Source organism: Homo sapiens, chromosome 13 (assembly GCF_000001405.40).
Source record: "Homo sapiens chromosome 13, GRCh38.p14 Primary Assembly".
In the NCBI taxonomy this organism is placed as follows: domain Eukaryota; kingdom Metazoa; phylum Chordata; class Mammalia; order Primates; family Hominidae; genus Homo; species Homo sapiens.
Genome location: NC_000013.11, coordinates 63,591,775 through 63,615,015, shown reverse-complemented (window position 1 = coordinate 63,615,015; position 23,241 = coordinate 63,591,775). Strand labels below are relative to the sequence as shown.

Genomic DNA, 23,241 nt, shown 5'->3' with positions numbered 1-23,241 from the left:
TCTGCATCTGTCTCTCTACATTCTTTTTAGAACAGTAGATGGCTGCTTTGTCCAGAGGCCAGAAAGGCAAATGCCTGTGAATTACAACTCCCACCCGCTACCCAAGCTCTTCCTTCACCCTTCATCCTCACATCTCCTCAGTTCCCAACCCACCTAAGTAACTTCAACCTAAATACCCTGGTTTTTAGGGTGTTTTGCAGCATTTCCCAGAATTTCCATAGGGGATTAAGCTCCACTTTCCCACAATGGGAACTGGCTTAATAATAATTTATTTTTTTACCCCCCTCCTTTACCAATATCACTTCCCACTTCCCCACCACCCTATGTTTCATGCAACTGCAAAATAGCCTGCATAATTTTACATTCCCGTCTCAGGGTCTGTTTCTGGGGGAAACTCAATCACGCTGCTCTATGGCTGTTTTATTAAATTTACTTTTCATGAACCAGAATGTAGTACAGAACAAAATATGGTATGGTCCCAATACTTGATTTTGGAGGAATAAATGAATTAGAAATTATGACATATGGAATTAGGAGTGCATTTCCTCCAGGTAGGCTTGCCAGATTTTTATCTGGCTAAATATCTAGCGAAAGGGAAAAGGAGACAGTGCTGTGAAAATTTTGGTTACTTGGTGATATTGTCTCTGCTGCATCATTAAAAATGTTTAAAATGATTTTGAGACAACTTTTTCTTTTATCAAAATATTTCCACAATACTATGGGCTTCCAAATGTAAGCAGAATATATTGCAACTTTTTAATATAAATAAACAGCTTTGTTTGAAGTTGGAGGGATATTTCCCATGGTGGTTTCCATCTGTTTATACACAGAGATGGAGAAATTGGCACCAATATAGTGAAGTGATTACAGGAAAGTGATGCATTGGAATACAGGATGATAGGCAAATTAAGCTTGACACTGGAACTCACTATGCTGCTATCAAAGTAATAACATAAAATGTCTTAGTTACTTACAAACAGAAAGTAAGCCTATTATGATGAAGTAAATATAAATTTAAAAAAATTTAGACCTCTAATTTCCAGAAAGAGGTTCTGTGATACTTAAATATTAGCATAAGCTAATTTTTTTCTGCGTCATATATTTTCATAAGTTTTATACTGCCACCTCAGTATGTGATTGTCTATATTACCCTTTAGAAGATAAACTACTTCACAGTGATTTATAGAAATTGAGAAAATGTTATGCTTAGAAAATAAATTTAAGAAATCATGATTGTACACATCTGTACAATGTTCAATAGTCTTATTACACACATACCATTTTGCATTGTTACTATATAATAAATTCTATACAGCCACGTCTCAGATGTGTTTGAGTTTGTTTTATCTTTACTCCTACAACAGAAATGCAAGCCATTTCTATATAATGGCCAAAAGCAGAGCTATTGCAATTTAAAATTTTTAAATAAGTTAATGCAATAAAGATTTCAGGTGAAAGAAGAAAATATTTTACTGAAAGTTAGGGTGTGCACACGCATGTGTGTGTGCACAAGTGCGCAGTCATGTGCATGTATGTGTATTCCTACTCAAGGCAGCAATAAATGTTCTCACTTTGCTTTAAAACTCTATTAAGATAAAATAATCATTTCCACTTAATAAGTAATTCAAAGCTAATATTTGCCTTTATTATCTAAAATGAAATAATTTAGCATACTTCCTATCATTTTAAATCTATGTTTGATCATTGCTTCATATTTTAATAGAGAATGTGTCAGGAGATAAAGGAGAAGAAAAAAAAGTTTTGACACCCATTTATGGGTTTCATTCATTCTGATCTCCCTCCCCCTGTATTACTATACAGGATAAAGCACATTACAATAGAAATAGACTGTTTATAATAGCTATGAAACATGTGTGGTGTATTATTGTTGATATTCCTGAGTAGGAAGAATCATACCTAAAAATGACCCAACATAATAGAAGTAAATAACATTTTAAAGTCATTATTTTTCAAAATGCATAATAATAATAGAAATCATAATAAGAATATATTTCAGTTGTCTTTTTGCCTTCATTTTGATACCTAATTTATCATGTCAATTCTTCAGGAATTAATAGAAAGACAAATTTTAAGGGAAAATAGTAACAAAAAACTATTTACAAATATTTTTCCAAGCAATAAAAGGTGCTTATAATATATTGAAACACATCATTTAAGAAACAGAGAACATTTTAATATAGATTATTAAAAATTAGAATTGTTTATAAATAAATCCTTCAATGTATAAAAAGCCCCTGTATACAGTTTAGGTGCTATTCATATGTATATCTGTATTTATTTACATATGTAAGAATATGCATATGTATAATATATTCATATTTATGGTATTTTTATTCATATATCAACTGGATATGACATAAAATATAATGGGTTCTCTGTAAAATTTCAGTTTACTGGACAAGTCAACATATTAGGTTTTACAAATTATTTATTGTCTTACTTATTAAATAAGTATTTATTGAGTTACTACCATATGCAAAGTATGATGCCAGACCCTGGGTATTCATTGATTAAATTTAAAAACAAGGTAATCTATATACACTGTCGGAGGAAATGTAAATTAGTATAGCCATTTTTGAAAACTATTTTAGTTTTACTTTACATATAGTTACCATATGATCCAGCAATCCTAATTCTGCGTATTTACCTGAATCTTTGAAATCAGTATGTCCAAGAAATATCTGCACTCCCATGTTCATTACAGTAATAGTCCCAATGGCCAAGTTGTGAAAACAACCCCAGTATCCATCAACAAATGAATGCATAAAGAAAATATGGTATATATACACAATAGAATACTACTATGCATCCTTAAAAAAGAAAGAAATTTTGTCATTTGTGACAACACGGATGGAATTGGAAAACATTCCACTAAGTGTAATAACATGGGAAGACAAATACTCCATGTTCTCACATATATGTGGAACAAACATGGGAAGACAAACATGGGAAGACAAATACTCCATGATCTCACATATATGTGGAATCCAAAACAATCAAATTCAAAGAAGCACAGAGTAGAATGGTTGTTACTGAAGGCTGCAAGCATGGGAGGATGGATTGTGGAGGAAGAATAAGAAGATAATTGTCAAGGGATACAAAAGAATATATTGCACAACATGGTGAATATAGTAAAAATAATGTATTTTACATTTCAACATTACCAAGAGAGTGAATTTCAAACACTCTTACCACATAAAATAATAAGTATTTGAAGTGATGGACATGTTAGTTAGCTTGACTTAATTATTTCACATTGAATTCACATATCATAGTATCACTTTGTACCCCATAAATACATACAACTATAATTTGTCAATTTGTAATTTTAAAAAGTAAAAAGGAAATAAATAAAAACAGACAAAAATGTCTGCTTTAATAGAGCCTACAAGCTTGAGTATAAGAAAGTAACTATTTTCACAGTCTTTTTATTTAATGTCCAGTAAGTCTTTGGGCGTATTTGTGTTTTCCCACATTCCTGAAAAAACTATCTGTGCTCATGTCTGATCACTGAAGGAAAAGTATACTAAGTACTGTCATTAAAAAGTTATCACTTAAATTATTAAAAATAACTTTAAAATGACAATTAGCTAGTGAAGTCAGTGTGAAAGACTGCCTTGTATTAATTGACCTGCTAATTAAAGGATAAGTACATCTTCAACTGAATTGTTTAAACAAATGAGCTGGTCTTATTTTTTAATTATGTAAAATAATTATTAAAATGTCAAGACCAAACTCTATGCAAAGATGATACAGGGACATCTTTTATAGACTTCTAGTTCATTTTAATTGCACTATATACAATTTGAAACATTATGATATATCTACAGATTGTTGAAAGTTTTGGATTGCAAGAAATCTTCAGAAGAATGAAAGTAAGGGCAGGGTAGTAGATCTAGTTACAAACTAGCTCACTTAGAATCATTGGGACTCTCTAGTCTAATGATTTCTTCTAAATTCTCAGGCATCCATCACATGTGAAATATTACCAGGATTGGCATAAAATATCATCAATTCAAAGTAGAGACTAAAGATTCAAAAACAATTCTTTTTGGAGAAAAGGGGAAAAAAGAAACAAAAAGATATTTAATTTTAAGATCTAAGTAATTGAGTAAGCAACAGAATAAGAATAATTAAAATTATTGTTCTTTTTCTTTGGCTTTTAATAAGAAAATTACAATGATCTTACCTATCAAATGAGCTCTGTTTGGTTCCTTCAAACAAATATACTAGAAAAATGATTTTAACAAAGAAAAACCTGAATTCTATCTCTGGCTGCTAACTGACATTCAGTAAAAAACATTCCTGAAATCCATTGATCTCATATCTTCAATCCTCTTTTAAGGACTGGAGTCCATAGCTGCAAAATATTCTGCATATTATGTGATATATAATTAGAACCCAATATTTTTGAGCCCATGCAAACAAAAATGTGTTACTAATAATGTAGATAAAGATGGTAATTGATATTTTCAATTTGAGTACATAGTTACAAGTCATATCATTCCATTAGTTTTATTATCAAGTTTTGTGACTTCAGAAGAGACAAATCTCTTACTCTGTTCAGGAAGTTTGAGTGCTCCCTTGAGAAGCGATAGTTCAGCTGAGTTCTGAAAGTAGAGAAGTATGTCAAACAGAGGTGGGGAGTTCATGCTTGACAGAAGTTATACAGTGTTCCTGCAGTAGAAAGGAGCATGTTGTGAGCCATCAAGGAAGTAAGAAGACCATTTTTCTTGGAACAGAAGAACCTGGGGGAAAGTGGTAAAAGATTAGTGAAGAATATGCCATGAGAGATACTGTAACCTAAGACTGATTGTACATTGGACTTATTTTAATTAGAGGTACAAAACAATCAAATTTGCCTTTCAAAATGATTTCACTGGTTGTATTATTTTGTATGGTTTGAGTGTGGAGAGTACTAGTGATGATATATTGTAGTGGTTGGAGAGGTAGTTAAGTAACATATCATGACCAAAATGAGATGTCTCAGGATCAGCGAGTTTACGCTGCAAAAACAAACAATATTAGGATGTTGTAGCTTACACAACACTAAATTTTCACTTATGTTACATATATCTCTAGTATGTCAGACGTAGCTCTCTTAATTTCAGGTCCCAGGTAATGAAATAGCCTTTATCTGGGGCACTGCTGGTGGTTCTTGAAGAAAGAAGTTGACAGAAATTGACTCCTAAAGCTTTTATTCTAAAGTGCCATATATCATTTCCTCTCATACTTTATTGGGCCAGTCACAGGGTCAACTCTGTAATTAATGGACCAGGGAAGTATTTTTAGAGAGAGGCACTGCAAGAAAGCAAATAGGAATAGACTAATAGTGAGACAGTTTACCACACATAAGGAAGAGCTTAGTTTTCATGATGTATCCTACGGAAAACTAGTGAACAATTTCAAACAGAAATGTATTTTAAGTTAGTACATACATATACAGGCATCAAAGCTAAGTTACAAATACGTAAAATTTTAGTATTTATTACTCAACAAACCTATTATTCTGCTTTCTGGACTGTATATCTTAAAAGACATAATCATGATAATATATCCTGATATTATCCTAAATATTAAAGTGCTTGAGTTTTTCCAAAACACTTTAATATCCACAAGAAAAACATGTGAGCTATCTGGAAAGACTTAAAAATCTTTTTAGGAAGATTCAACTTTACCACCAGAGTACAATATAAAACTATATGTATGGAAATGTCAACTAAAAGGGCCAGAAAAAGAACAAATGCACACAATAATTTATCTTTGTTTACTCCAACAATAACTAGATACAATATATTAGAGAAGAAAATGTGTACTTAGGTATAAATGTAAAAATAACAGTGCAAGACTAAAGTGATTAGAAACAAAACTTTATAAATTAAAAATAAAGAAAATGTAAAAAATTATAAACACTTTATTGTACCCTGAAAAAACCTAATAGTGGAAATATGGTGGTCTTTACTATATTAATATACACATTAAATTTAATTCTCATTTGTGGACAAATAGAATTTGGTAGAGAAATGTCATATATTTTTGATAAAGTTCATCTGGAAAAGCACTTTCACAGAATATCCAGGAAAATAATTGTGGAAAAAGAATAGTTGATGATATAGATCCTTTTCTGTGTAAAATTATACAATAGAACCACAGTAACTGAAATAGAATGGCATCAATACCAAAACACATATACATACACAGAACAGAAAGCCTCATATTTATGAAATCTATTATAATATAAAGTGTCGATTTTAATAAATTAGCTAATTGAAGAAGCAAATAAATTATAAAGTTATTTAAATTAATATAACCAATTCAAGACTAAAATTAATATATAATTTATATTATTTCATATAATTGGGTAAGGTTTTTCTAAAGTAAAATACATACAGCAGAAAACATAAAAAGAAATTCTGACACTTGTACTTCACTTCCTCTCCCCACATTTTGCATTTTTGATGTTACCATTTACATCTCTTTACATACGATATCCCTTAACAAATTATTGTAGTTATTATCATTATTATTATTATTATTATTTTGAGACAGAGTCTTGCTCTGTTGCCCAGGCTGGAGTGCAATGGCACGATGTTCGCTCACTGCAAACTCTGCCTCCTAGGTTCAAGCAGTTCTCCTGCCTCAGCCTCCCGAGTAGCTGGGATTACAGGCATGTATCACCAGGCTCAGCTAATTTTTGTATTTTTAGTAGAGACGGTGTTTCACCATGTTGGCCAGGCTAGTCTCGAACTCATGCCCTCAGATGATCCACCTGCCTTGGCCTCCCAAAGTGCTGGGATTACAGGTGTGAGCCACTATGCCTGGCCGCTATTATTATTTTAATAGTTTTGTCTTTTAACCTTCATGTTAAAGATAGAAGTGATTTAAACACCACTATCACAGTATTAGAGTAGTCTCAATTTGACCGTGTACTTACTTTTAGCTGTGAATTTTATCTTTTCAGATGTTTTTGTGTTAATCATTAGTGTTGTTCTCTTTCAGCTTGAGGAACTTCTTTTAGCATTTCTTGTAAGACAAGTCTGGTGGTGATGAATTCCCTTCGCATTTTTGTTGTTGTTCTGGAGTGTTTTTATCTTTCATTTCTAAAGGACATTTTTGCTGTGCACAGTCTATTTGGCTGGCAATTATTTGTTTTAGAACTTTGGGTATGTAATCTCACTCTTTCCTGGCTTGCAAGGCTTCTGTTAGGAAGTCCACTGATAGCCTTTTGAGAGATCCTTTATATATAACAAGTTTTTTCTCTCTTGCTACTTTTAAGATTCTTTGTCTCTGAATTTTGTCAATTTGATCACAACGTGCCTAGGAGGATTCTTTTTTGAATTGATCATGTTTGGGATTCTTTGAACTTCCTAAATCTGTATGTTCATATGCCCCCAAAGATTTAGGAAATTTTTAGACATCATTTTTTTTAAAAAAGCTATTCGTCCCTTTGTCTCTTCTCCTTCTAGTACTCCCATAATTCTTGTATTTGTATGTCTAGTAGTATTCCATAGTTTCCTTATGCTTTCTTTACTCTTTTAAATATCTTTTTTTTTTATTCTCCTAATTGGTTACTTTAAAATGACCTATCTTTGAGTTTTCTATTTCTTTCTTTTGTATGCCAACTCTTCAATTGAAGCTGTTGATTTTTTATTTTTTTCACTGTATTCTTCAGCTCCAGGATTTCTGTTTATGCTTTCTATTTATTCACCAAACTTCTCTTTTTGTTCATGTATTTTTTTAATTTCATTTAGTCGTCTGTCTGTATTTCCTTGCATCTCACTGAATTTCTTTAAAATAGCTACTATTTTAGATTATTTTTCAGACAATTTGCATATCTCCACTTCCCTGGGGTTGGTTACTGGAGCTTTTTTAGTGCCTTTGGTTTTTGTCATGTTTGCCCAATTTTTTGTTATCCATGTAGCCTTGTGTTGATGACTGTGCATTTGAAGAAGTGAACTCTACTCTCAGTTCTTAACATTGATTTTGAAAAGTTAGCTCTCCAGGCTGATAGGGTTGCCTCTAGGATTGTAGTTGAATGGGGCTGGAGTCAGTTCACATGGTTGATGCTGGGTCTACAGTGGATACCACAGTTAGTGGCCTATTTCCAGGGGTTGTAAGTCTGATCTGGTCCCTAAGTGCCCTGGACTGTCTCCAGGACTTCATTCTATGGGGCTGGTACTAGGATAAGGGTACACTTTAGGGTTCGCAGATCAGCCAATTTGTTATCAGGTATACTGACATGTGTGGCTTCTTCTGGGTCTCTGGGAGGGTTCCCATGGGATCACTAGATGGACTGCTAGGCTGGCTGGTCTGCTCTAGTCCATGGCGCAATGTGCTGGATCTAAGACTCATGGTTGTTTTAGGTCCCCAGTCAAGAACAAGATCTTCAGACCTGTATCCAGTTCACAAATACATGCATTTCCAGGTGGGTTTCTGGGTGAACAGGCTGGCTCTCAGACGGCAGTTGAGAAGACTTGGAGACAATCTATAGGGCTCTTCAAGATCCACAGTGGAACCAAGGTCAGTGCATCAGCCTGTAGGGGTATTGTTGGATGTGCCTCCTTCCAAGTCCCCAGGCAAGCAAAACTGCTCTGTGCCCATAGACAAGAGGGGCTGGGATCAGGATACGGGGATGTTTAAGGATTGGCTGTAGGAAAGAGATTATCAAGGCTACCACAAGGACTCAGATGAGCACATCTTCCCACAGAGACCTGGCAGGGCAATAACTGCCCCCAGACCACAGCTGAGAGGGACTATAACTGAGTTTCAGGGCTAATTCAGTATTTGCTGTGGAAATGATGTTGACAAGCTTGACCTGGTGACACAATTGGGTAAGAATGTTAGGAGTTCTCTATGCAAGCAGGATTGCTCACAGATGAAAGCTTAGAGGGACTACAACTGAGATTCAGGCCCCTTTCAAAAACCTCTGTGGGATAAAGTTCAGAAAGCATGTCAGGAGTTTTCTGTAAAGTAGGATAACTCTGGGGCTGTGGAAAAGAGGGACTATGGCTGAGACAGGGCCCCTTCAAGATGTGCAGTGAGACAGAGTCTGGCAAGTCTTTTAGTGGTGGCACAAATGGGTGAGTCTCCCTCTGGGTCCTTGTCCAAGGAGCACTAAGCTGGGACTACAGCAGAAGGAGGCTGGAGCTAAGTTACTAAATAACTTTTAGGTCCATAGTGGTGATGGATATCAGAGTGCAGACATGCCTGTCTTCTAAAAAACTAGTGTAAGTGATTTCTCCTAGACCTCCGGATAGATGGTTTTGGTAGTAGGATAAAGCCTAAAGGTATCTGTAGCCTTGCCTGTCAGGGAAAGGAACACTTTCTGGGTCTGAAACTAAGAACACGATCAGTGAGCCTGCCACAGGTGGTGTGGGTTTGCAGTCTCAAAATGATCTTTCTAGGTCTTGGGCTTCACTGGGGTTTCACAACCTCCTACCTGATGTTCATGGCTCCCACAGTTTTGTCTGTGGATGGTTGCAGAACTCTTGTTTTCATGAGAAACTTCTGGCAGATTACTTCCTATTCTTCCATCTTGCTCAAAAATGACATTGCTTTATTATTAAAGAAAAATTCAAGAAATTCCAGTATTATAGGACAAGGGGAGCATGTGGTTCATAAGGGTAGAAAAAAATTTGTTTTTGAGTAGAAGTAATTTTGAGAGCAGCAGTGTTTGTTTAATGAATTGATCTTTCCTGTGAGGATTTAGAAAACTAAATCTCTATAGATTATTTAGAAGAGCGTGGGAAGCAAGTGAAATTCAATCTGTCTCCCAGAAGAGGTGACCACTTCTACATTCTTTCCTCCTCATCTACCTCTTCAGGAATGATGGAGGAGGCTGAGGGAATCAGATGGGCAATACTGAGAAAAAAATTACTAATTAGAATGTCGATGTATATCTTTCTGAAGACTTGTATAATAAAATATATAAAGTTGTATAATTAGATAAATATATTCTTATGAAAATAATAAAATATGGACAGGCACAGTGGCTCTCGTCTGTAATCTCAGAACTTTGGGAGGCCAAGGCGGACAGATTACCTGAGGCCAGGAGTTTGAGACCAGCCTAGACAACATGGTGAAACCCTGTATCTACTAAAAAAACAAAAATTAGCTGGGCGTGGTGGTGGGCGCCTATGACCCCAGCTACTCGGGAGGCTGAGGCAGGAGAATCGCTTGAACCGAAGAGGCAGAGGTTGCAGTGAGCCAAGATCATGCCACTGCAATCCAGCCTGGGCAACAAGAGCAAAACTCTGTCTCAAATAAATAAATAAATAGCAAAACATGAAGATATAAAATGTTGGGAAGAGTTTTGGTCAAATATTTAAGATTTTTAAAAATAGCTTCATTGATTTGATAATATAATACTTATAATTCTATGTTGTCTTATTTTCAAACTACAAATAATTTAAAATTAAATGAATCTAAAGTTAGCCATTATGCAATTTTGACAGTTCAATCTAATTGTAACATTTTCATTTCTTTTGAAAGTCTTATTTTCACTTTCATAATATAACACTGACTTTTTAAATACATTTGCCATATTTTTGTAATGAATGGTATTGTTTTCTCTTTTATTAACATCTTGGGAGATTGACCAAATATGTAAAAATGTTTACACCATAAAGTATTTCTTAAAATGTAAATGGACTAGTAACATTGGTGGCTATGTTTGCAAACTTTGTCTTGCTGGTTCCACCAGAACTATTCTGTTATTCACAGGCAAATTTAATTTGAACAATCCCTGTTTGCTTTCCCATCTGAATTTGATCAGAAGGCTGCATCTTTTTCTGTTATTTTCAAACTCTATGCAGGCTATAGATGCTTCATATTTCATAATCCTCTGTCTCAAATTAAAACTTTTCTAGATATAGCATCATGTCATCTGCAAACAGGGATAGTGTGACTTCCTCTCTTCCTATTTAGATGCCTTTTATTTCTTTTACTTGATTGCTCTGATCAGGATTTCCAATATTATGTTGAGTAGGTGTGGTAAGGGAGGGCATCCTTGTCTTGTGCCAGTTTCCAAGGGGAATGCTTCCAGCTTTTGTCTGTTCAGCATGAAGTTGGCTGTGGGTTTGTCATAGATGACTCTTATTATTTTGGAGTATGTTTCTTCAACGCCTCATTAATTCAACATGAAGGGATGCTGAATTTTATTGAAACCTTTTCTGCATCTATTGAGATAATCACATGGTTTTAGAATTACTTCTGTTTATGTGATTAATCACATTTGCTGATTTGTGTATGTTGAACCAACCTTGCATCCCAGGGATAAGGCCTACTTGATTACAGTCGATTAGCTTTTTGATGTGATGCTGGATTCAGTTTGCTAGTATTTCCTTGAGGATTCTTACATCTATGTTTATCAAGAATATTGACTTGAAGTGTTCTTTATTTGTTGTGTGCCTGCTGTGTTTTGATATTTGGATGATGCTGGCCTCATAGAATGAATTGAGGGAAAAGTCCTTCCTCCTCAAGTTTTTGGAATAGTTTCAGTAGGACTGGTATCTACTCTATTTTATGCATTTGGTAGAATTTGGCTGGGAATTCATTTAGTCCTGGGCCTTTTTTGGTTGGTAGGCTTTTTATTACTGATTCAATTTTGGAACTAATTATTGACTCAAGTTCAGGGATCCAATTTCTTTCTGGTTCTGTTTTGGGAATTTATCTGGGTCCAGGATTTTATGCATTTCTTCTAGATTTTCTAGTTTGTATGCATAGAGGTGTGCATAGGAGTCTCTGATAATTTTTTTGTATTTCTTTGGGGTCACTGGTAATGTCCCCTTTGTCATCTCTAATTATGCTTATTCGGATCTTCTCTGTCCTTTTTTCTTTATTAGTCTGGCTAGCAGCCTATCTTATTAATTTTTTCAAAGAACAAACTCCTGGATTCACTGATCTCTTGAGTGATTTTTGTGTCTCAATTTTCTTCAGTTCAGCTCTGATTTTGGTTATTTCTTGTCTTCTATACTAACTTTGGGGTTGGTTTGTTCTTGCTTCTCTAGCTGTTCTAGTTGTGATGTTAGGTTGTTAATTTGAGATATATATATAACTTTTTGATGTGGGCACTTAGTGCTACAAATGACCATCTTAACATTGTTTTAGGGGTGTCCTAGAGATTGTGATATGTTGTATCTTTGTTATCTTTAGCTTCAAAGAATTCCTTTATTTTTGACTTAATTTAATTATTTACCCAAAACTCATTCAGGATCAGATTGTTTAACTTCCATATAATTGAATGCTTTGGAGGAATTTTCTTAGTATTGACTTTTATTTTTGTAGCGCTGTGGTCTGAGATGTGGTTGGTATAACTTCTAGAAAACCCCCACAGTCTCTGTTCAAAAGCTCCTTGATCTCATAAACAACTTCAGCAAATTTTCAGGATACAAAATCAACATATAAAAATCAGTAGCATTTCTATATACCTACAACATCCAAGCCAAGAGCCAAATCAGGAACTCAATCCTATTCATAATTGCCACAAAATGAATAAAATTTCTAGGAACATAGCTAACCAGAGATTGAAAGTATTATAAACCACTGCTCAAAGAAATCAGATATGAGACAAGTAAATGGAAGAACATTTGATGTTCATGGATAGAAAGAATCAATATCTTTTAAATGGCCATAATTCCCAGAGAAATTTACAGATTTAATGCTATTTCAATCAAATTACCAATAACATTATTCACAGAATTAAGAAAAGCTATTTTACAATTCATATGGAATCAAAAAAGAGCTTGAATAGCCAAGGCAATCCTGAGTGAAAAGAACAAAGCTGGAGGCATCATGATACCTGACTTCAAACTATAATACAGGGCTACAGTAACTAAAAGAACATGATACTGGTGCAAAAACTGACACATAGACCAATGGAACAGAATTGAAAGCCCAAAAATAATGCCACACCCCTACAACCACCTGATCTTTAACAAAGCTGACAAAAGCAAGCAATGGGGAAAGGACTCCCTATTCAATAAATGGTCATGGAATAACTACCTAGACATACGCAGAAGATTGAAACTGGACCCTTTCTTTACACCATATACAAAGTCAACCAAGATGGATTAAAGACTTAAATTTAAAACCAAAAACTATCAAAACACTGGAAGATAACCTAAGAAATAACACTCTGGAAAAACAACTTGGCAAATATTTCATAATGAAGATGCCAAAAGCAATTAAAATTTTAAAAAAAGAATGACAAATTGGATTTAATTACATTAAAGAACTTCTGCACAGCAAAATAAACTATCAACAGAGTAAATAGACAACCTATATAATGGGAGAAAATTTTTGCAAAGTATGCATCTGACAAAGTTCTAATATCCAGAATCTATAATGAACTTAAACAAATTTACAAGCAAAATAACAAGCAACTCTATTAAAAAGTGAGCAAAGGACATAAACAGATACTTTTCAAAAGAAGACATACATGTGGCCAACAAACATATGACAATAAATGCTTAACATCAGTAATCACAGAAATGAAAATCCAAACAACGAGACATCATCAAACACCAGTCAGAATGGCTATTATTAAAACGTCAAAAAATAACAGATGCTGGCAAGACTGTGGAGAAAGGAGAACACTTATACACTGCTGGTGAGAGTGTAAATGAGTTAAGCCATTGTGGAAGGCAGTGTGGTGATTTCTCAAATAACTTAAAACAGAATTACCATTTGACCCGACAATCCCATTATTGGTATATACCCAAAGGAATATAAATTTTTCTATCATAAAAACCTATGCACGCATATGTTCATTGCGGCACTATTCACAATGGCAAAGACATGGGATTAACCTAAATGCCCATCAATGACAGACTGAATAAAGAAAATGTGGTATAAATACACCACGGAATACCTTGCAGCCATAAAAAGGAACAAGATCATGTCCTTTGCAGCAACATGGATGGAGCTGAAGGCCATTATCTTATGAAAATTAACCCAGGAATGGAAAAACAAATATGCATGGTCTCATTTATAAATAATGAGAACACATAGACACAAAGGAGGGGAAAAACAGACACTAGAGCCTTCTTGAGAGTGAAGAAAGGGAGGAGGGAGATGAGGATAAAAATACCTATTAGGTGCTATGTCACCTGACTGATGAAATTATCTGTACACCGAAATTCCATGACACCTCCCAGTACTTTTGAAGGTCAAGGCAGGTGGATCACCTGAGGTCAGGAGTTCAAGACTAGCCTGGCCAACATGGTGAAACCCCCTCTCTACAAAAATACAACAATTAGCCAGGTATGACAGTGGGTGCCTGTAATTTCAGTTACTCAGGAGGCTGAAGAAGGAGAACCAGTTGAACCCAGGAGGCGGAGTTTGCTGTTAGGCAAGATTCTGCCATTGCACTCCAGCCTGGGCAACAGAGCGAGACTCCGTATCAAACACACAAACACTCCATGACATGCAGTTTACCTATATATCAAACCTGCACATGTAGCCCTGAACTTAAATTTTAAAAAAAGAAAGTAACCATTTTTTTAAAAGTTTAATATTTCATCTTTCAAATTTCTTGAATATTCATGTATTTATGTAATACATACATTTTATAATAAAAAGTCCTTATAGATAGAATATTTAAGAAAAAGTCATTGCTCATAGTCTTTGAGTGCAGAGCTTCATAGTATGTACATTTATTTACATTTTATTCTTATATGGATACTATTTATATAATCAACATTCTCAAAATAAATTACCTGCATGAGCCAGCACCTAAAAAACTTTTAAAACTTTTATTTTAAATATAAGTAAGGGCTGGGTGCAGTGGCACCCACTGGGTGAGTGGTAATCTCAGCATTTTGGGAGGCTGAGGCAGGTGGATCACCTGAGGTCAGGAGTTTGCGACCAGCCTGGCCAACATGGTGAAACCCTGTCTCTACTAAAAATACAAAAAAAAAAAAAAAAGCTGGACATGGTGGTGCACACCTATAATCCCAGCTATTCAGGAGGCTGAGGCAGGAGAATTGCTTGAAACCAGGAGGCAAAGGTTGCAGAGAGCTGAGATCACGCCACTGCACTCCAGCCTGGGCAACAAGAGTGAAACTCTATCTCAAAAATAAATAAATATTAATAAATAAATAAATGTAAGGATCTACTGTGAATATAATTACTCTGTCTAAGACTTTGTGGAACTAGAATCTATGTACAAAAAGACAACAGACAGTCAAAACTGTGCACATGTCAGAGTAACTGCTTACTCTGGTGTAGACACCAATTCTTTTTTGACCTGGCTTATTTAATGAAGCATATATTTCATTTTTAACCCAGCTGCCTTATAAACAATAGTAATCAATGTGATTGCAAATGTTTATTTCTGAGTCCTGTGGTGAGTACAGACATTGTTCATAGGAAAAGACTATACATATTTAAAAACAATTCACTTTCAAATGGTTGAAAAGGGGATGGGGTCTATAATGCTCTTACCGTAACACAAAAGAGCCTACTGGCCAAAAGTCATGAGTTAGTTTGTCAAATTAAGGTCACTCAATTGAAGATGAATTTTTAAATTCTAAATCATTGGGATAATGTTCCCAATATGAGATAATAACAAAGATAGAAAATGTAGCATTTTGGATATTTATAAAAACTTTCAAAAACTTACCATTATAAATGTCAGTTAGGAGGATTTTAAGTCAATTTTTGTTTTTGTATTTGTTTTTTAGCTGAAATCGAAAGGGATTATCTGTCTACCTAGCCAGTTAGCTCTCTTTTTCATTTAAATTGTCAAAAGTCAAGGTTGATCTTCTATTTTGTGCTGAGTGTAAAATGGAGCACAATCACACAAAAGCTGGGCATGGACAAAGGTCTGTGATCTGGGTAGACAGACTTGCATAAGGCTGGAATTGCTGTTCACTGCAGCAGCAAATATCAGGAGTTAACACCTGGAGATCAGATTCCGATTTGGGTTCTTGATTGGTTCATTTTGTATTAAGGAATTTAACTTCCAAAGAGAGGTCTGGCCATTGTCTCAGCCCCTGAGAGACAGGTTCTAAACCTTTTGCATTTCTTAAGTGATGGCAGTGTCTTTGTTATTCATTGTGTGCATCGCTGGCCACAGGTGACAGTTCATGATGTTCCCCTTAATAGTTTATGCTAGTGAGATGACTCCGTGGTAGGGGTTGGTCACATCAAAGCCAGGCTTGGGGTAGAAGGTTTGGCCATGGGCCTCATGAGGCCTCCATACTGAGGAGTGGGGCTGAAAATTAAGTTCAATTATGTAAGCAATGAATCAGTCATGCCTATCTCATGAAGCCTCAATAGGCACTCTCAAGCTGAAGCTCTAGTGAGCTTCTTGCGGTGGCTATACTTTATTATTATTGCCAAAAATTGATGCTTGGTAGAATAAAGCATCCCTGAAGATAATGGAAATTTCACATTTAGAAACCTCCCAGACTATCTGGCTGTGGTGAATTATGCATGTAATTCCAGCACTTTTGCAGGGCTGAGGCAGGAGGATTATTTGAGGCCAGGAGTTTGAGACCACCCTGGGCAACACAGTGTCAGAGGCATTTGAACAAGAGCAACTCCATCTTGAACAGGGGCTGGGTAAAACAAGGCTGAAACCTGCTTGGCTGCCTTCTCAGTAAGTTAGGCATTCTAAGTCACAGGATGAAATAGGAGGTTGGCACAAGATACAGATAATAAAGATCTTGCTGATAAAACAGGTGGTTGTGAAGAAGCCAGCCAAAACCCACCAAAACCAAGATGGTGAGGAGAGTGAACTCTGGTAGTCCTCACTGCTCATTATATGCTAATTATAATGCACTAGCATAGAAGACACTCCTGCTAGCATCATAACAGTTTACAAATGCCATGGCAATGTCCAGATGTTACACTATATGGTCTAAAAAGAGGCGAAACTTCAGCTCCTGGAATTGTCCATGCCTTTCCCAGGAAACTCATGAATAATTCACACCTTGTCTAGCATATAATCAAGAAATAACCATAAAAATGGGCAACCAGCAGCCCTTGGGGCTGCTCTGCCTATGGAGTAGCAATTCTTCCATTCCTTTACTTTCTTATAAACTTTCTTTCACTTTACTGTATGGATTTGCCTTGAATTCTTTCTTGCATGAGTTCTAAGAAGCTTCTCTTGGGTCTGGACTGGGACCTCTTTCCCATAACATTAGCAAGACCTCATCTCTAAGAAAAGTAAAAAATAGAAACCTCCCAGAATTCATCTTATGCATATCTTTTCCTTAGACTGATTCTAATTTTTATACTTCTTCTATAATAAAATTGTAATCATCAGACATAACACTTTCCTGGGATTTGTGAATGTTTCTAGTGAATTATTGAACCTGAGGGTAGTCATAGAGACTCCTGAATTTGTAGCTAGCTATTGTGAAATGATGATGCTTCTGAGGATCCTTGAAATCGATGGTGGTGTCTGAAATGAGTGCAAACTTTGGAAATTGTTTTCTCAGATGTTGCAGTTTAGCTAAGCTCCTTTGCAATTATTAAAAGTAATACTGAGTTATAGTATTGGATAAAACATAATTTAAACTCAGATAAATTATAGGCCTAGTTACCAAAACAGGTTTTCAAGGAAGGGTTTGGTCACAAAATGCAGGTCTAATTACTAGAATTAGGTCACACTGAATTTTTCTAAAAATTTTATAACCTGAGGCACCCTCATTACCACCCTTATCTTAGTTGTTAAATCTCTGGCTTTTTTTTTCCTCCTAAAGGGTTTCAGATTTAGTTTCTGTTATATACAGAGAGCTATACTATAAATATGAATAACTTTCAAGACAATCATCGTGTAATATTTATACTTATTATGCAACAGCAATAGAATTTTAAATTTTCTTGAAAATTAGAAAGTCAGCTGGCCAGGCGCGGTGGCTCACGCCTGTAATCCCAGCACTTAGGGAGGCCGAGGAGGGCAGATGATGAGGTCAGGAGATCGAGACCATCCTGGCTAACACGGTGAAACCGGGTCTCTGCTAAAACACAAAAAATTAGCTGGGCGTGGTGGTGGGTGCCTATAGTCCCAGCTACTCGGGAGGCTGAGGCAGGAGAATGGCATGAACCTGGGAGGTGGAGCTTGCAGTGAGCCGAGATTACGCCACTGCACTCCAGCCTGGGCGACAGAGCGAGACTCGGTCTCAAAAAAAAAAAAAAAAAAGGTCAGCTGTAAAATAGTCTACTGAATTGTGTGAAAAATGCATTTTATTCCTATGCTGTCCTTTATGTAAACCAATGCTGGAAACCTACTATGACAAACTGGTAGTTTAGTGGCAAAAATACTAAATATAAATTAATTTGGTATTATTCCAACAGATGGAAAATCTTGTCACATCTTTAAAAATATGTGCATTTAAGCCTTTGGTCTTATCTTTTAAGTATATATATTTGTATACATTTGCATAATGTATAATACAATAATTTATATGCATTGTTTATGCATTTTAAATATATGCATATATTTTAATTAGATGCATTTGAAATTGATAGAGGCAGGAGGCAGAGAAATTCTAGGCAGGTAGGTGGGTCCCGAGTGAAACCCCACCTCTAAGCCAAAGACAGTTTAGAGTCTGAAAGCCAAGCTACAAGTTAAATCCTCAGACTGGATTGAGAACTTGTCTTCCTGTTTGGCATGTGTTCCTCTGATTGGTCCCTACCCTTTACCTATTTTACTTATACCTACCCTTTCCTAATTTGTTTTTCTACACTGTCCTGCCCATCTTTGAGTGGTATATTTTCTTTAACCGTTTTTGCATACTCACAAACCAATCAGCACACACTCCCCATTCTGAGTCCATAAAAGGCCCCACATAGAGCCACAGGGGGGGAATTTTCCCACCTTCTGGTAGGGGAAACATCCCCACCATGTCCCCTCTCTGATGAAAGCCATTTTCATCATTCAGAAAAATTCTTCTCCACCCTTCTCGCCCTTCAATATCCTGTCTATCCTCATTTTTCTCGAGCATGGTACAAGAGCTTGCAAACTGCTGAATGCAGGTACAAGCTGTAACACAGGCAAGCTGGGGCATGCCAGCATGGCCGAGTGAGGCTGGGGCGGGACGTCGCTGGCCAGGGAACTCTGGCTTGCAAAGTGACTGAGAAGAAAAATCCTGCATCAAAATCCCACTTGAACAAATAGCGAACATTAAATAGAATAAAAGTATTTCATAAGTTGCTAATTTTATGAAGGAAATGAAGTGTAATTGTTCTGTTCTCAAATGTGATATTGAATACACACACACAGAGTCAGTCATAGATGACCAATTAAAATTGGATATATCTTAGAAAAAATGTTTGCAATACTATAATTTTCTATTTGCTATGCACTTCTCAATGTAAGGGAAAATATTACTATGTTCTCTTCAAATCCTAATAAAAGACCATTCTCATTGAGCACTATTTACGAATCTGGAAATGTACGTTAAATGACAATATCAAAATGAGGGACTTCTAAATCACTTTTGCAAGAATTATTATTTCAATAAAGTATATAAAACGTTTTGGCAAAATGCTCTCAAGGAAATGGAAAGACCAATCAGGGTACCAGGTGAGCTATAAAATTTACTTACAGAGTATATTTCTGCAAAACTAAAATCAAAAGTAACACTATTTGTTAGTCTCTGTGAAGGGAAAACAATAAAGTGCACCCTGATGAATTCCAGGATTGAGCAGCTTGTTGTCAAGAGGTATTTAGTTTCCTGAAGTAGAGTCATTGTAGCAAATAACTGGCTGTGTGCATCAAGAGAATATATTTAATTGAAAGATACCAGTTGTGTGGAAAGTATTGGCATTTAGACATTAGTATGTTCAACCTCATCAGAACAAGTAACGTTATCTTGGAATGTGAGACATAATTAGCTATGCTATGTCTCTTTAACCTCTGATTTAGAATCCATGCATTTTCCATTTTATTTGATCAAATGATTTTTAAACAGCTTGGGAACTGCTCAGCATACATATCTACATAAAAAATATGCTAAGCATGTAAAAATAAAATTTCACTCTCAAGAAGAAAATTTAACTCTCATAATATCAAATAATCAATTTCATTATTTGATACTGTTTACACAGAGGAAAAAAGAGAGCAAAAACTTTTTAAACTGCATTTGTATGAGTAATTTATATTCATCAGCTTCAGGTATTTAAACAGTAAAAGGACTAATGAAGCACTGGTGACTGAACACCTATTGCTATGTTCCTTTATTATTTTTCTTCTTAAGCCTTAATGAGCTGTAATTAAGCAAAATAGGAGTCGCTCGTATTTTGTCTTGAACATGCTTTATTATAACAAAGAGTAGTGACAAGTAGCTGTATCTCACTTCATGAACACCAAACTTACTGCAGATATGTAAATGAGAAGCTACAAAGCTAGAGAAGAGCCTGGAGATATTAACATCTGTGTGAATGAAACAGCCATTTCACAACTCAGTGGACCTTAAACACAGCAGACACTGAAATCTGTTCAGTACATGGGGTGGATTTTTAAGTATGTTCAATTACTACTTATCTCCCAGCTGTTGTTTGAGCATGGCTTCTGTAATATTAGCGAGTTCTGCTTTGACATCACTGACATATAAACATTGTGTCCTTGATTAACAGTTACTACCAGACTAAATAGCCATTTTAAAATCATAAGTTCAAACTTGAATTGCACCATGCTATAAGTCTCTCCCTTGGGGTGAAGAGGTTAGAAAGTACTAAGAAGTAGAGAAAAATAAGAATGACCTCTGACAATCTTGATTGTTGTGAGTTTTATGTGTTACCTTCTGAGTATGAATATTTCATGACTGATTATATGTAAAAACATTTCAACATAAAATATATAACTATTTTTAATGAGATACTTGGAAAATCAAAAACAGGTTTGAATAGGGAGTGTTCAATCATAAGAAGGTGATAAGCATTTTGAAAAACTATATTTTTCTCCAAAGAAAATCAAACATTATATTAATGATTATTTAAAAACAAAGACAATCTTAGGAACTTTGAGATGATTTTTTAAACTATGTGTAAGGTTATTACGTTACGAATACTTGCGTGTCCGGAATTGGTGGGTTCTTGGTCTCGCTGACTTTAAGAATGAAGCTGCGGACCCTCGTGGTGAGTGTTACAGTTAAAGATGGTGTGTCCAGAGTTTGTTCCTTCTGATGTTCGGATGTGTCCGGAGTTTCTTCCTTCAGGTGGGTTCGTGGTTTCGCTGACTTCAGGAATGAAGCCGCAGACCTTCGCAGTGACCGTTACAGCTTTTAAAGGCAGGGCATCAGGAGTTGTGCATTCCTCCTAGTGGGTTTGTGGTCTCGCTGGCTTCAGGAGTGAAGCTGCAGACCTTCGCTGTGAGTGTTAACAGTTCATAAAGGTGGCGAGTCCGGAGTTGTTCATCCCTCCCAGTGGGTTCGTGGTCTCGCTGGCTCTAGCTGGCTTCAGGAGTGAAGCTGCAGACCTTCGCGGTGAGTGCTACAACTCATAAAAGGCGGCGGCGACCCAAAGAATGAGCAGCAGCAAGATTTATTGCGAAGAGCAGAAAAACAACCCTTCCACACAGCGGAAGGAGACCCCAGCGGGTTGCCATCCCTGGCTGAGGTGGCCAGCATATATTCCCTTATTTGTCCCCACCCACATCTGGCCGATTGGTCCACTTTACAGAGTGCTGATTGGTCCTTTTACAGAGTGCTGATTGGTCCATTTTACAGAGTGCTGATTGGTCCGTTTTTGCAGAGTGCTGATTAGTGCGTTTACAAACCTTTAGCTGACACAGAGCACTGATTGGTGTGCTTTTACAGAGTTTTGATTGGTGCGTTTACAAACCTTTAGCTAGATAGAAAAGTTCTCCAAGTCCCCACTCAACCCAGGAAGTACAGCTGGCTTCACCTCTCACTTGGAGAGGGCAGGCATATAAATGAGAAAGATCCAATATAGTTCCTTTTCCATTATGAAAGCACAACCATCATAAGTTTTTTTAAAAAAATAAAAATCAAATTGCTATACCATATAAAATACCAAAAACCTTTCCTATTATATTATGGATTCCAGTCTTTTATTAGTTTGAAAGCATGCAATTACAAGTTTTCCAACATAATTTATAGAATAACATGATCTCCTTTTTAAAATCAAAATAGTTTTTGTTCTGCTGAATATTTGCAGAAATGCCACCATTACCATTTAAAATGCCAATGATAAGAACTTTGGAGTGTATAATGGTAGTAAATTATCATTATTTTCTTTATGGCTGATGCCTTCGCAATTATAATAGGCTATTTCGTCAATTAGTCTCTTTCACAAAATCCAGGTGACATATATTTTGTAAGATTATACCAATTATTTATTGTAAAAATATCCTTTATATTAGGCTGCAAGAATCCAGAGTAAGTAACAAATATTTTAAAAAGTCATTCAGACTACTTAAACTCCCTATTTACTTTATAATTGAGAGAATTCTTAGGTACATTAAGGATCATAGGTTGCATACGAATCTTCAGCTCTCTAAGCTTATCAAACCCCATACGTGAGTAAGGACTTTGTATGACACACTTTCACAGGCTATAACTTTCTCAGGATTATTTTGCAAGTTATTTTTATTACTCCCAAAGCATTTCTATAATGTCATTTCCTGGCCTTTAAAAGAGCCATATTTTTATTTCTTCCATGTGAAGGGCTTGTGGATTGCTATGTAAAGTAAGTTGGAGTTAATTAGTGGTGCTAAACTTTAGGGAAGCTTATGTAAGTGACCCGGGATTTGAAGGGTATTATGCTAATCGTAATTTTTGAAGCTTAAACCTCTTTGTTTTCCCTAAGATATAGAAAATTCATAGTGAAATAGTATAACAGAGATTCTACAACATTTTAATAAGTCAAACATAATCATTATTTATTTGAAGCAGTATGCTACTGATTGCCGAAGGTCAGTGCTGTCAAATATCTCAAGAAAAGTATTTTTTAAGAAGAGAATTTAGTATAGTATAGTTATTTCATCTATTATCAATGTATTTCAGCAAAAGTAGTTGTAAAATTATTTTCCCGTTGATTTATATTATAAAAGCTAAGACAATTCCCAAGAGGCAGAAATATAAATGAGCAAATCCTTGCAAAGGAATAAATAACCCAAGAACTTTTATGTGTATGTTTCTAAACAAGATGGTGTTCATTGTTATTATTATTACTTTACAAAACAGCTTTTATTCATTCCCTCAGCACCTTTTAGGCACCTCATATTTATCAGCTATGCTAGGATTT

At 35.6% G+C, this 23,241-nt stretch overlaps 1 long non-coding RNA gene across 6 annotated transcripts in view, besides 2 other annotated features; it reads right to left on the bottom strand.

The window, feature by feature from the left end:
* The window catches only part of LOC105370236 (uncharacterized), a 78,736-nt gene extending 57,613 nt beyond the window's left edge, over window positions 1-21,123 (bottom strand). For 5 of the 6 annotated variants that reach the window (XR_942019.2, XR_942020.1, XR_942018.2 and 2 more), the window contains exons 1-2: window positions 21,034-21,123; window positions 4,580-4,769 (exon numbers count right to left, since the gene is read on the bottom strand). This is a non-coding gene — a long non-coding RNA (uncharacterized LOC105370236). The remainder of the gene's footprint in view (window positions 1-4,579; window positions 4,770-21,033) is intronic. The other variant, XR_942023.2, reaches the window with a different exon arrangement.
* Window positions 18,557-19,056: an enhancer, noted in NCBI's record as "H3K4me1 hESC enhancer chr13:64170093-64170592 (GRCh37/hg19 assembly coordinates)". NCBI's record gives its function as "activates a minimal SCP1, AML or CMV promoter by ChIP-STARR-seq in naive H9 embryonic stem cells {active_cell/tissue: H9 hESC(naive)}" and the evidence as "EXISTENCE:reporter gene assay evidence [ECO:0000049][PMID:30033119]".
* Window positions 19,057-19,558: an enhancer, noted in NCBI's record as "H3K4me1 hESC enhancer chr13:64169591-64170092 (GRCh37/hg19 assembly coordinates)". NCBI's record gives its function as "activates a minimal SCP1, AML or CMV promoter by ChIP-STARR-seq in naive H9 embryonic stem cells {active_cell/tissue: H9 hESC(naive)}" and the evidence as "EXISTENCE:reporter gene assay evidence [ECO:0000049][PMID:30033119]".
* Window positions 21,124-23,241: the final 2,118 nt, after the last annotated feature.